A 14024-nucleotide genomic window follows, 5' to 3' on the forward strand; every position below is an offset into this window, starting at 1 on the left:
GCAATGACATCTTGAAATCAGAAAGTTTAGAGAGTTTTCTTAGCCCAGCTAAAGATCTGAATAAACACATAGAGACAGAGGCCCCCAAAGAGGCCCGTGACCCATGACCTGCTTGGAAAATCCCACCCTGTCCGATGAGGCCCTGTAGGCTGGCTGCTCTTTCCTGGGGCGTGGATGTACTTCAGGGTGTATGTTAGCTCCTGGAAATGTGACATAAAGTTATACCTTTTGTCAGATTCTTACAAAGGTCTCTGTACCCCCCAAAATTTGAAACCACTGCTTTGGGAGGGTGGGGTTTCTAGTTCCACAGCAGGCCTTGGGGGGCCTTGCACAGCGGCGGAAACCCACCAGTTTTGGCCCTAGCAGGCTCTTTTTGCTGGCTGAAGTCAGCAGAACCCCAGCCTCCAATGCCAGGCTCTTAAGTCTGTGAGGCATCGGTCATCTGTAAGCCAGGGAAGAGCTGTGCCCAGTGCCTGATGCTTTTTGCCCTCACTGTGTCTCTGGTTCCCTCGCAGGCCGGCCAAGACTTCACCACGGCGTGCCCTCAGTGTGGAGGACGTGGGTGCTCCCAGCCTGGCTCGCACCGTGGGCCGCCTGGTGGAGGTGTTCCCAGACGGCACCAGCCAGCTGCAGCTGCAGCGCTCCCCAGGGGGCACTTTCGGCTTCTGCGTGGCCTCTGGGAATGGGCGCCCAGACTCAGGTATGCCCTCTCCTCTTCCTCAGCCCCATGGCTGGGGCGGCCTTAGCAAACAAGGCAGGGCCTTCTGGCTGTGGTCAGAGGCTTTTCTGGTCTTTGGCTGAGCCGTGCAGCTCTGGGAATTCAGAAAGCCTCTGACTACAGGACTAGGCTTCTCCCCTCAGGGGCTCTTTCTGAATTGTCCAGGGCTCTCTAGGAGTCTGCACCTGCAGAGCCTTTGCCCTAGGCAACTGCAGCTGAGAGTGCGTTGGTGGGGAGTGTGCGGGAGGGGGTAGAGTTGGCAGGTTTGACTCCACTGTCCCCCTGCTGTCTGATGACATCTTGAAATTAGAAGCTTAGGCCGGGCGCAGTGGCTCATGCCTGTAATCCCAGAACTTTGGGAGGCCGAGGCGCCTGGATCACCTGAGGTCAGGAGTTCGAGACCAGTCTGGCCCACATGGTGAAACCCATGTCTACTAAAAATACAAAATTAGCTGGGCGTGGTGGCGCATGCCTATAATCCCAGCTACTTGGGAGGCTGAGGCAGGAGAATTGCTTGAACCCGGGAGGTAGAGGTTGCAGTGAGCCGAGATTGCGCCATTGCACTCCAGCCTGGGCAACAAGAGCAAAACTTCATCTCAAAGGAAAAAAAAAAAGAAATAAATAAATTAGAATTTTGAAGGCCATCTTTGCAGAGGAGAGCCAGAGGGAAACTGTCTGTGCCTGCTGGTTCTCAGCAGTCCCTTTGATGTGGCTGCGTTGAAACGGTTCCTTTCCTCCGGCTGTGGAGTATGTCTGGGCACGTGGAGCATGCCTGTCTGTCTCTGCATCCCGTCCCTCCCTCAGGCCTGTGCCCGATGATTATGTTCAGATGAATCCTGGCTGCAGGCCTCTGACTGGGGTGTGCTCTGGGTCTCAATTCAACCCAGGCAATGGCAGGGAGAAGTCCTGGACATCATTCTGCACTCTGACCAGTTCTCAGTTCCACCCCATCCATGAGTCTTTCAGGGCAACGTGACTTGCAAAAGCCCACGCCCAAGGTCTGTGGTCCAGAATGCATCTCAAGGGCCCATAAAAGACATTCCCCAGAGGATCAGGGAAGGAAGACACGTATGTGAGGGTGGGGAAGGAGGGGAGGGGAAGGAAGGAGAGAGAAAGGGAGAGACAGATACAGAAAGACGAACACAGAAGCCTGCTGCGGCCGGGCTCTGCCGATGGGGGGTTGAGTCCTGTGCTTTGATCTCCTAGCTCAATGCTGTTTAGCCTGGAAAAAAGTCTGCCTGCTACCACATTTGCAGACCACAGCATGAGTTCTCATGTCTGTTCCATCATTGTTTCAGCAAATATATACTAAGCACCTACTATGTGTTATAGATACGGGGGATACAGCAGTAAATGGAACAGACCAAATCCCTATCCTCATGAATATACTACCCAGTGAGCAGTTAGATTGTATCTATAAAATGTGTACTCTTGTTATGTATAATGTGCTACGTATGTCAGATGGTGAAAAGAAAGTTCTGAGAAACAGACAGATAAAGCAGGTGTGGCAGGTGCTGGTATAGACAGGAGTGTGGGGAGGCTTTTCTGAGAAGATGACACTTGAGCAGGGCCGTGGATGGGGCGAGGAAGGGGCCCCATGGGTGTCTGGGGAAGAGCATTCCGGCAGACTGAACAGCAAGTGCGGAGCCCTGGTGGAGGGGCGAGCCTGGCCTGTGAGAACTGTGAGGGTCAGGCTGGACACTGCAGAGCAGGCAACGGGTTGGGAGGAGCAGAGTTTGGAAAGATGGGGTTGTGCCACTGTAAGGGGCTTTGGCTTTCATGCCGAATGAGATGGGAGCCACTAGAGGGCTCGGAGCGAGCACTGAGACTCTCTAATGTCTATGAGAATAGACCCCAGTGGGACACGGGTGGAGCCAGGGAGCCCTGTGTTGAAGCTATTTCAGCAGTCCAGGACAGAGACAGTGGTGCCTGGACTGGGAACGGCTGTGGAGATGGGGAGAGGGGAGAGGGGACAGGGGTTGGATTCTGGTTGATTTGACTATTTGCTGATGAGCTGGACATGTAAGAGGAAGAGAGGACAGGTCTCTGCCTACTCTGGACCTCAGGAGGATAAAAAGTCCTTCCTCACAGGCCTTCCCGTAGCCTCCTCTCCCGTTAGGGGAGCAGGACAGGCCCCCCGGACAGGTGGTGTGAAGGCAGAGGCAGACAACGCAGCATGTTTGTGCTCCGGCACCTCTGCTGGCTATGTGATCTAGAGCAGGCGACATCCCCACTGAGCCTCACTCAGTTCCCTAATCTGTGAAATGAGGATGACAAAACCTACCTAGAAGAGTCATAAGGAGCATTTGGTAAGGCACACAGGAAAGGGCCTAGCATTTTTCTTCCCTCCCCTTCAGAAAGAGAAAGTCTGGGGAAGAGAACCCCAGACAGGGACCAGCGTGATCCGCATTCACCTGTCGATGTGAGTGCACACACAACAGGTCATTGTACTCTGCCGCCCACCCTCCCCCAGAGTCCCTTTTTGCTCCCTTGTAGGCAGTGGGAGCCCCTCCCTGTCACCCGTCAGGGAGCTCTGATGGGCAGGGGTCTCTAGTGACCCAGGGCCCCCGGCACCCTCGCCTGAGTTGGTGCCAGCTCCCCGTTGTGCCCAGGCACTCCCTGGTCCTGCTGCCATCATGGGCGCTGGATGGCACACAGGGGTCCCCACGCACATGAAGCCTGGCGAGTGCTGGGGCCTCCGTGTCCCAGGCCATCCTCCAACAGCAGAGGGTCGCTTCTTCCAGGCTCCAAGGGGCTGTGAGGAGGGCTGGCTTGCGCCCCGCACTGAACCGGCAGGATGCTGGTATTAACTTGCTGGCTTTCACATCCGACTCTATATGAGCCTGTGAGAACAGCAGGCTTTGCCTTCTGCTTCTAATTGGATACAACATAGAGATCACACATCCTCAACAAAGGCCATTTCCAGCAGACAATAAATGCCTATGACAGCAGGCTGTCATATTTGTGTCACGAATTTCAGTTGCGAAACCTACCCGAGTCTCCCCAAAATGGCAGGCGTGACGTCAGTGTCTGGCCTAGCTCTGGCAGCATTCTTTCAGGGTTTATCATTAGTCCCCACCTGCAACTCCCACAGCACATCAGACACTTCTCTGGGTTTGCCCCAGGGGCCCCTTCTTACCTGCCCCCTCCCCGTGCCACCAACCCGTAGACAGGGAGGGCAAGCAGTGAAAGGTCCATCTAGAGGAGGTAAAAGACAGGGCTGAGGGAAAACGCCTTGTACAGTCAGGATGGCAGATGTACTCTGTCAGGGAAGACAGCCCCACAGAAAAGGCTCGGCTTGGCCAAGAAGCAACAAAAGGGATTCTACACCTCAGACCAGGGAGGGGGAATGTGTACAAAGATTGGATTTACTAAATTCAGAGCCACAGACTTTCAGGTACTTCGGTGAAGATCAGTGCTCTTTCAAACCCACACTTCAGAGGCAGGCTTTAAAACGCCTGACTTCTGTCAGGGCCACAGGCTGGGCTGCCCAAAGCTCCTACGGGGCTGGGGGATCCGAGAGAGGACTTCCCACTAGTCCAAGATGTGGTGACTAGTTTCAAGCCAGAGATTGAGGAGCAGACCTGATGCCCTTTCGGGCCCCTGCTAAGAACCTGATTCGAGGAAAAGGAAGTGAAGACAGTAACGCGTGGGCAGTGGCCTCATGTCTGAAATGCAGAGTGAGCCGAGCTGGGCTGCGAACAGCGAGGGTGCCAAAGGCTGCGCTGAGCAGCCTGAATTCCGCCAGTGCTGATGCCCACACCAGGGGTGTGCCCCGCAGTCCCTCCAGCAAACTCAGCTTGTGTCTCAGCCCCTGTGTCCACCCAGCATGAAGCATGGGCATCAGGGGGTCCAGCCTGCCCTGGGAGAGCCAGCACCTCACTTACTCTCCCAGGTGGGAGCAGCTGGAGGGGAATTTGAAAGGTTTCCAGCCGCGGTTGAGGCCGGCGGGCGGGGGTTGGGGGCAGGGGGCCTCCTCAGCTGGACACTTCCCAGCCCAGCCAGCCCAAGCCCCACAGGGCCTGCCCCACTGACGGGGGGCTCCCTGAGAGCCGGAGCCTGGCAAAGAAGCAGAGAAGCTAGTTCCCGCAGGCTGGCTCTTGGCACCTTCTAGACCCAGGCAGGGCCTCTTTGGGGTGGGGAGGAGGGGGCATGTGCAGAAGAGGAGAGGGAGCCACCGCAGCTTTGAAATATGTGGCTAGAATTTTTATTTTTCCTGGGGTTTTTTGCTCAGATGCTTCCCCATCCCAATTGAGGAGCCATATCTGAGTAAGACTGAGGCCAGTGTCAGTCTTTGGCAATAGAGTGCAGCAAACCAGGCTTGGATGTGGCTCAGCCACTTTTGCTCTTCCGATGATACCTTCCCACCACCCCGGCCTTTACGCTGGGCCTGGGTGACCTGAGGCAGCAACTGGATCATAGTGCCAGGCACTGAGTAGGTATGGTTCCTAATTTTTAAAAACTATTTTCCTCCCAATTCTACAAGAAAAGCTCATCTCAGAAAAAGATTAGCTCACTCACTGTCAGGTATAAATAAATGACAACAGTTTAACGCGTTATTTGCACTAGGAGCATTTCCACTTTAAAAGCAGAGACAGTGGAATGGAGTTAGACCATGGAGGAGGCGCACTGTATCTATGTCTAAAGCCAGTTGTGGTTGTGAGATGGAATAATGAGGGGTGTGTGTATGTGTGCATGCGCACAGAGAAGTGCCTGGTATGAGCACCTCCTCCCTGTGCCACACAAACAGCACCTCATCAACATGGTCAGCATTCCAGAGATGCACTTCTTCGATTTGGGTGTCATTGTGAAATTCTCCTGTTTTCCTCTGCAGGGATCTACGTGCAGGAGATGGCTGACATGAGCATGGCCAAGCTGTACTCAGGGCTGCTGGGGGTGGGCGATGAGATCCTCGAGGTGAACGGGGCCAAGGTGGCAGGGCTGGGCTTGGCTCACATTAAGGAGCTCCTGGCCCACTCAGAGAGCTTGTCAATCCGTGTCCTGAGGCAGAGACCTGTCCCACGGTGACCCAGAAGTGCCGCTGCCCTCACTGTCACGGCCTCGGAAGCCCTGAAGCACTCAGGGTGGTTGGCAGGAACGTGCTGCACAGAGCTGCTCTGTGGCGGAAACAGATCCTGGCAGCATCTAACCCCTTGGGCTGTGGCAGGGCTTCTGTGGTGGGCTGCCTTTGGGAGACGCAAGGAGCCTGTTTGCATATTTTGTTTAAGGCCATTTATCCAGAACTAGAAAAAGAAAAAAATGGGTCTCCTTCCATGTCTGAGGGGGTGTCAACATCTACTTGTACCTTTGTTGGCAGGGGGAGAAGGGAGATTCAGTGGATCCTTTGGTTGATGCCTGAGAGCCGGCCTCACCTCCTGGTCCCATGCCTGGTCAAAGGCTACAGCCTCCAACACTGTGGAACCAAAGAAAGCACATGTCCATATTGGCCTTGACCCTTCCCTATTTCAGCCACGTTCCTCCCTACTCCATTCACTGCCCTTGCCCTTTATCCAGAAATGGGCAAAGTGTCCCGGAATACCAGCCTTACAGCCATTGACCATATATGCCAAACCAAAATCAGAACGTGTGGTCTGGCAGGAGTTTTATGCCCCTTCGGGGTGTGGGAATTCTGGGAGATGTTATCTGGTAGCCAGAATATTAAAAATTTCTAGGAAAATTTTTTTATACATAAAGTTGAAAACAACAACAACAACAACAAAGACCAATTTCAGGACGTGCTACTGTGGTAGCCAGGATCCAGCTAGTGGGACCGGCCAGACCAGCCCCATGCCACCCCGGCCGCTGCCTCTGCCCAGGTGGAGGCAAGAGTTGCTGCAACCTGACCTGTGGCAGCCTCCATCTTAGTTCTGTCCAGCTTGGAGACAGGGCTGCGGCAGGTGCCTGGCCATCACAGCTGCATGCTTTCTGCCCAGACCTCCTGGCGGTGCTGTCGGTGGGCAGGTGGGTGGGTGGGCAGCAGGGAAGCTGCAGAGCGCGGCTGGGCCATCTGCCTGGGCCTCAGTGCTGCCTGGAGGGCTGGGACTCTTTGGGAGTGGATGGCCATGTGTCAGTCTTAACTTACTAAAAAGCAAAGCTAAAGCTTCTCTCACTCTGAGTTGCTAAATTCTCGGCTGGACACTCACTTGACCCTCACTAGCCATGGGCAGGACCAGGGAGTGGGGTGCTGGTGGTGGGCATGCCAGAGGAAAGGCTGGGGAGGCCACGGGTTAGGGTGACAGCCAGGGTAGATGCAGAAGCCTCCAGACCGTCCTTTGGCAAAAGAAAAGCCCTGGACAAGGTTTATGACCAGGAGAGAAGAAGCCAAGGGACTCTAGCTGGGCACAACTGAGGAGTGGAATAGGAAGTTCAGGGCTGTTTTAGAACTGGCCAGGGTGCCAGCTGTGGTTAAAAAAAAAAAAAAATCCTGGAACCAAGAAACCCAACCCTCAGCAGAATCGGGTTTAAAAGAGTGTCAGGGCAGCTTTCATTGGGCAAGAACACTGAAGCAGGCCTGTGGCCCAGGGACAAGGTCGTGGGGGTGGGGAGGCAGTCCTGTGCAGTGTTGGGAGTGTGTTCCCCCACCCAGGGCCTTTGCAGCAGGAGCCAGGTAGAACCCTGTCTTCATGATGCCCATGGGAGGAGAGGGAGGGGCTGAGCCCCATGGCTCACAGAATGGGGTAGGGGGGTGGAGGAGGAATTAGGGGGATCTGGCAGGTGAGCAGAGGGGCCAGAGGAACAAGTGCTTGGGGCTTCAGGCTGTGAAGAGGGCACTGGCACTCTTCAAAGTGTAGAAATGAGCCCACAGCAAGAAACTTCAAGTGTGGAGAAACCCTGGCTCCTCCTATACTGCAATTCTTGGCCTAAGGTCACAAAACTGGAGAAATTTCATGTTGAGAAAAGCTCCTGGGGGCCAAAGACAGCTCCACTTTTCTCTGAAAAGGACAACTTGCCTTCCCAGGTGGGAGGAGGTGGAAGGGGGTGGCTGGGGCTGGGAGGACGGGAAAAGGCCTCAGGCGTATCACCTCCCGGGCTGGTGACATACTTAGTCCTTAAATAGTCCTGCCAGGTATGTCCTGCTCATTGTCTTCATTTTGCATAGATGGGGAACCAAGTTCAGCAGCAGTGACAGGGCATGCAATCCTGCCCCTCTGACTTGGGGCCCACTTTTCCCACTGCAGCTGCCTCCCCATGCCAGAAAAGGCTTGGTGCTAGGGGAGGGGCACGAGGCACGCGGGACACTGGAGGCTCCCAGGCCTCTGGACGGTGACCTAATTCCAAGGAGGCAAAGGCGCTGGCATCCCAGCTTCTCCCTGGGGCAGCCTGATGTGCAGGCCCTGCCTTGTGTGGAAATGGGAGGGGGCTTTGGTTCCTCCAGCCTCCTGTTTGACCTTCCCCAACTGCCTGCATCTGCCTGCCTGGGGAGCTGCTGACCTCGAAGGCCTAGGGCAGCCCTGCCTCACACACTGGAACATCAGAACCTTTTTTTTTTTTTTTTTTTTTTTTTTTTTGAGACAGTGTCTCACTCTGTTGCCCAGGCTTGGAGTGCAATGGCACAGTATCAGCTCACTGTAACCTCCGCTTCCTGGGCTCAAGTGATTCTCCTTCCCCAGCCTCCCAAGTAGCTGGGACTACAGGCGCCTGCCACTATGTCTAGCTAATTTTTGTATTTTTGGTAGAGACAGGGTTTCACTATGTTGGCCAGGCTGGTCTCGAACTCCTGACCTCATGTGATCCGCCCGACTCAGCCTCCCAAAGTGCTGGCCTGAGCCATAGTGCCTGGGCCATCAGAACCTTCTTACTGAGAGCTTATTAACCAGGAACCAGGCCTAGGCCAGGCAAGAGCCCCCGGACTTAAGAAAGACCCGCAGCCTCAAGGGGCCCCAGCCCAGGGGGAGGCACACACACATTACAGCGCCGGATGCAGGGTATGCTGCAAGAGGAGCTGCAGCCGGTGTAGCCTGTGGGTAGCCTGTGGACAGCCTGGGGCCGTGATTCGTGGTTGGCCGGGTAGTTGGCAAGGGCGCCAACCGGGCAGGTGAGCACAAGCAGGGCTTTGTAAAACGAGTAGGAAGCTACAGCAAGGGCCAAGTGGCTCAGGCACAGAAACGAAGCAGCCACATGCAAAGGTGTGGGTATTCCCGGTGTCTAACTTATGTCCCTCCCGCGGTTCACAGAAGGCCCCTGACACTGGGACTACACGGAGCAGAAAGTGGCACCCCTTTGCCTCAGGCACCTCAGTCTCCTCGGGGCTTGGGGGCATTTTCAGAAGCCACCCGCAGAACCAGCGTCCCGGGCGGCGGCTGGTTTTCCCCTCTTTCCCGGGGGCCCCCCTCTGTCGCTGCGGGGTGCAGCGGCGGCGAGAGATATCCGCAGCTGGCACCCGGTGTCCCGGGAGGGAGAATCGGGGTCTGTCGCGGGCCCTGCGACCAGGAGGCGACTGTGCCCTCAGCAGCTGCCCCGCGCCCGCCCCGCCCTCAGGCCACTAGAGGCAACCTCGCAGCGACTCCGGTGCCCCCCCAAGTCTCCCTGGCAGGGCGGGCTGTCCCCACCGGCCAGGGCAGGCAGCGGGCGGCCGCTTGCTCTGCACCCGCAGACTCCGCGCCAGCCGCGCCTTCCCGGCCACGCGGCCGCCCGCGGAGTGTTCCCGCCGCGCAGACAGGAGGCGTGGGGCCAGGCAGCACAGCCAACAGCCTCTGTCCGCGTCCTCCCGCGGGGCCTCGCGCGGGCGGGGGTGAGAGGGGAGCGGCCCGTTGCGCTGCCTGGGGGTCGCCAGGGCCTTCGTGCCAAGGCCGCTTCCGCGAGGCGGGGTGTGTCCAGCAGGGCACCGGCTGTTAGAGCCGCGGGGGCCTGCAGCCTGAGGGTGGAGGGAGGGCGGGCTCGCGGGAGTTTTGCAAACCCCGCCCCCAGCACACGCGCGCACGCGTACACGCACACACACTGCTGGGCTCACCCTGCCTTTGAGAAACGCACGGCTGGGGAGGCGGACGGGGCCTACTGGTGCACCGCACGGTCCCGGGCCTTGCTGAAAGGTGATGTGGAGGCGGCGCGCCGAGCCAGACTGGGAGGATGAGCTGGAGCTGGCCGGAGGGATGGGGAGGAAGTGGGGCGACCTATGGACCCTCATGTCCGTGGGGCGGGGGCGGGGTGTGCAGGAATGAGTACCTGGTGCATGAGTGTCCCCAGCTTTCAGGCGTGCTGGAAAAACCGCAGGCCGGCTCGAATTTTGGAAACCAGTGTTAACCAGGACTTCAAGGACCTGCCTTCGTTGGGCTGTCCCTCGCCTTGCCCTGCCAGCTACGCAAATGTTCCAGAGCTCTGTTGAGGTCATTAAATCACCCTGAATCCATACGGCAACACTGCGAGAGAGAGACTATTATACCAGGCTAACGCACGAGGAGTCCGAGGCTCAAAGGTTAATTCACAGATAGATCCAAGGTCTGGGAGCCAATCAAAAGCGGAGGCAGGATTTGAACCTGGCCCTCTGTGACTTCCAGCCAGCATCCTTCCACCCTCCTGGGTCCCTCTGCAGCTCACCTCCCTTGGAGGCCCTCGAGCAGCTCTGGAGGCCCTGCTTGGCCTGCCCGCCACTGACCTTCACCAGGACGCAGGGGCTCTCATTTTGGTTTTTCTTCTGGGAAGTGGGGCTGGAGAAGAGCAGGCAGATCCCTTTCCAGGGCAGTGTTTCCAAACTGCAGGCACAATTCACTCATGGGTTATAAAAGCAATTTTGTGGGTTGAGACCAACATTAAATTAAAATAAAAATTAGAGTGCTTTATACAAGCCAAGGGTAGGTTAGGTTTTGAGAAATGCTTCTGCAAGTGTGTACCGAGTTGTAATTTAAAGTGGGTTATGGCTCTGTTCTGCGGGGAGGCAGAAGAAACCCTCAGGGCTATGGCCTGGCCCCTGGGGTAGTGGGGAAGAGGCCTCCATCCTAGATGCCCAGGTGTCCTGGGCAGCTGTTTGTTTCCACCTCTTTTCCGGGTGTGCCAAGAAGAGGCCTATGACCCAGGAGAGGAGGGCAATGATGCGACTGTGGACTTCTTAGTCTTCCAAACTGCCTCTGGGCACAGGATTCTTGTGTGGGTATTATTGGCAGGAGCTTTGTTTGTTGGCTCCTGGATCCCACTAGCCCCAACTTCACCCATCCATGCACCCACCTACTCTCTCATGCTTTATGCATGTGCCTTGGCTGGAATGCCTTTTCCCTGTCCCCCCACAAACCCCGTGGCAGCCTTCAAAAATATTAGAGGTGTCTGTCTCTGGAAGCATTCCCGATACTGCATGCTGACTTCGGCTCCTCCCCTTAAATCCCATAGGATCTTGTACCAAGGGCTCTTTATTGTGACTCTTTAGGTAGAATTGCTTGTTTATCCTCCACTAAACTTACCTGGCAACAAGTGGACTTCCCTAGTTCATCTACCCAACCCATTTCCCACCCCAAGTCCCCAGACTAGTTCTGGAGCGACTCAAAAGGCCCTGCTGCACCTGCATGAACAGGCCTTCCCCTTTCTCCCTCCCTCCCCCACATATCCGCAGAGAAGTTTCCCTCTTTCCTACAAAGCCAGAGCACCTGCTTAGAAATGGCAAGAGCCTTCCTTGGCAAGAAGCTCTGCCCAGCGCTCTCTGGCTGTGGGTTGGCCAGGTCGGAGTGCTGGACCCTGAGGAAAGGGGCTGCGGGGACTGGCGCTGATATGTGCCCATGGAGCCAGGGCTTAACAGCTGCCCTGCCAGTCCTGGAGGGTATCCGGAGCTCTCCTGTGGCTGCCAGGCTGCCTGCCGGGCCTGCCTTTGTCTTGTCCTTCTGCAGTCTGGGCTCAGGCCCCTACTCACAGTGTGGAGCTGCCCTTAGGGTTCTGGCCCAGTGCCAGGCACTGGGGAGGGGCCTGTCCTGCCCTTAGGATACCCTCATCCCCAGGATGGATACAGCTTTGGTTGTGAAAAAAGGCCAGCGTGCAGGGCTACAATGGAAGCCCCAAGGCAGGAGGCCCCACTCTACCTAAGGAGCAGAAAGGCTCCCAGGAGAGCCAGCTCTAGGACCCCATGCCCCCCAAGACCCCAAGCTCACCAGCCTCCATCCAGCTCTGGTGTTAACTCAGGAACAAGGGGTGCTGGCAGCCATGGGAGTGGCATTCAGAGGCCACAATTTTCATTCTCATCCTGAGCTCCCCAGACTAAGTCTCCAGGCTTTTCTGGGTTTATACAGTAAGGGGTTTGGCTCATTTACTTTTTGCTTATTTCCAGCCAAATACACAAAAGCTCCAAAACATTTATCAGCAAGGCGGACCTGTGTGAAACCCTGAGCCAGTAGATCTCTTGAACCCTACAGTGGACTTGAAATGCGGTCAAGTCCAAGGCAACTGATATCCATGCTTTATCCCAGGTACTTCTAGTTCAGTGCTTTAATCTGCCACTAACTGGCACCGCTTTTGTGACCCCTCTCCCCACTCCTCAGCCTTATGTTACCACTTCTCATGTTAGAGGGATGGCTTAGTGAGACATCTGCTTGCCACCACTGAAGTCAGGCCAGTGTGTTTTCTCTTCATGGAGGCCTTGTATGGTCCAGGCCAACCTGGGCTCCAATTCTGTCTCTACCACTTACTAGTTGTAGCCTTAGACAAATTTCTTTATTGCTGCATGCCCCAGTTTTCAGGTGTAAAATTGGTCTCAACAGTATTTCCCTCGTCGGGTTGAGAACTGAATGAAAATGTTTTGCTCCTCACGGCATCCCTACAGCCTTGGTCAAAGACCTACCCCACACATCAGATTTGCATCAAATATTGGCCAGAACTATTGGCTACTGTTTAGATAAAACTTTCAGGAAGTTTAGAGTTACTGACCTCATCGAAGGCCAGCCAATCTTACTGTGCCAGGAGAAAGCATCTGATGGTATGTGAGCAAGTGGGCTGGGAAGGGAGGTGGGGAGAAAACACCATCCAAAGAGGCTGGAATCGGAAGTGCGTGCCCACACTGGCTTCTGGAGCCCGTTGCCCCCTCTCTGAGGTGCATCTGTGGTGATGCTTGCTCAGGCTCAGCCTGCCCCTGCACAAACAGCTGCTGCTAACGCTCCGTGTAGCAGCACCTGGGCAGGTGGGCATACAGCTGGCATCTGGAGGTGCCAAGGATCATTTACTGATTTGAAATTTGTCCTCTAGGACAGTGACCTATTATGGTGGCATGGACAGGCCTTCCCTTCCTGTGAGTTTCATTTTTGCCTCAGGTCTTGCCTTTTAACATTTTGGGACCTTTGCAATGATGGCAAATGAGTTTTGCTGCACAGCAAAGCCGTGAGTAGAATCGAGTCACTGTCCACCTGTGGAACTGGACCCCTCAGCCTTGCAAACTGTGTCCCTCTGCCAAAGCGACACAGTCCATGTTTCTCCCTCGGGTAGGGGAGATGATCTACTTTTATTAGAGGATACATATAACCCTAACTCTCCAAGCACTCGTTTCTCTGGCGAGGCTGGTCAGTATGTTTATTTGCCATCACCTTTTCTCCGTAGCTATTACGTCTGGGAGAAATCAAGCTAAGGACTTAGCAAGCTCTGATATGGCACATTCCGTGCTAGGCATGAGGGTCACAGTAAGCAGCTCTGCCTCTCACCACCTGTGTGACCTTTGGAAAATGACTTTTCTGTGTCCCAATTTCCTTACCTGCAGATTTGAGGTAATAGATGAGGAAACTTCTCATTTTTAGAATTCTATGTGTTAGTACAGACAAAGTACTTAGAACAGTGCCTGGCACATAGAAATTAATATCAGTGAGGATGATGATGGCAAATGGAATGATCAAGATCTCTCTGCCCTTAAGGGCCTTACGTAGCCTCATCACCTCATCCCACATAGAATTTAGGGCAGGCTCTCTCAACTACCAATTTGCTTGGACAATAGTCTTGTTTGCCAGCACTTCAGTGAGCAGGGGAATGAAGGACTCAATTCCTTTCTGTTCTGGTCTGTCTGTTCTCCCAAGCTCATTGTCTCAGTTGAAACTCTGTGCTGTGTAATATTTTGCATACACAGTATGGTTATGTATTGGTCCATTTTTATGCTGCCAATAAAGATATACCTGAGACTGGGAAGAAAAGGAGCTTTAACTTGACTTATAGTTCCACATAGATGGGGAGGATCATGGTGGAGTGTGAAAGGCACTTCTTACATGGCAGCAGCAAGAGAGAAATGAGGAGGAAGCAAAAGTGGAAACCCCTGATAAACCCATCAGATCTCGTGAGACTTTTTCACTATCACAAGAATAGCACTGGAAAGACTGGCCTCCATGATTCATTTACCTCCCCCTGGGTCCCTCACAAC

The 14024-nt window shown here is 54.9% G+C and overlaps 1 protein-coding gene and 1 long non-coding RNA gene across 3 annotated transcripts in view, besides 3 other annotated features; one reads left to right on the plus strand and one right to left on the minus strand.

Annotated features, from left to right (window-relative positions):
- Positions 1-6827, plus strand: part of KIAA1614 — a 38718-nt gene extending 31891 nt beyond the window's left edge. Inside the window, exons 9-10 of one of the 2 annotated variants that reach the window (NM_001427641.1) lie at positions 516-700; positions 5553-6827. In NM_001427641.1, the coding sequence (NP_001414570.1) occupies positions 516-700; positions 5553-5746 (379 nt within the window). In that variant the 3' untranslated portion in view covers positions 5747-6827. Of the gene's footprint in view, positions 1-515 lie in introns of both variants that reach the window. The other variant, NM_020950.2, reaches the window with a different exon arrangement.
- Positions 4638-5188: an enhancer, noted in NCBI's record as "H3K4me1 hESC enhancer chr1:180918561-180919111 (GRCh37/hg19 assembly coordinates)". NCBI's record gives its function as "activates a minimal SCP1, AML or CMV promoter by ChIP-STARR-seq in naive H9 embryonic stem cells {active_cell/tissue: H9 hESC(naive)}" and the evidence as "EXISTENCE:reporter gene assay evidence [ECO:0000049][PMID:30033119]".
- KIAA1614-AS1 (KIAA1614 antisense RNA 1) lies at positions 4903-10100 on the minus strand. Its single transcript, NR_145481.1, has 2 exons — positions 9881-10100; positions 4903-6131 (listed from the first exon to the last, which is right to left on the minus strand). It is a non-coding gene; the product is annotated as a KIAA1614 antisense RNA 1 (long non-coding RNA).
- Positions 9155-9694: a silencer, noted in NCBI's record as "silent region_1597". NCBI's record gives its function as "represses an Ori minimal core promoter by ATAC-STARR-seq in GM12878 lymphoblastoid cells {active_cell/tissue: GM12878}" and the evidence as "EXISTENCE:reporter gene assay evidence [ECO:0000049][PMID:35858748]".
- Positions 9730-10335: an enhancer, noted in NCBI's record as "H3K4me1 hESC enhancer chr1:180923653-180924258 (GRCh37/hg19 assembly coordinates)". NCBI's record gives its function as "activates a minimal SCP1, AML or CMV promoter by ChIP-STARR-seq in primed H9 embryonic stem cells {active_cell/tissue: H9 hESC(primed)}" and the evidence as "EXISTENCE:reporter gene assay evidence [ECO:0000049][PMID:30033119]".

This window comes from Homo sapiens, chromosome 1 (genome assembly GCF_000001405.40).
Source record: "Homo sapiens chromosome 1, GRCh38.p14 Primary Assembly".
NCBI classification, from domain to species: domain Eukaryota; kingdom Metazoa; phylum Chordata; class Mammalia; order Primates; family Hominidae; genus Homo; species Homo sapiens.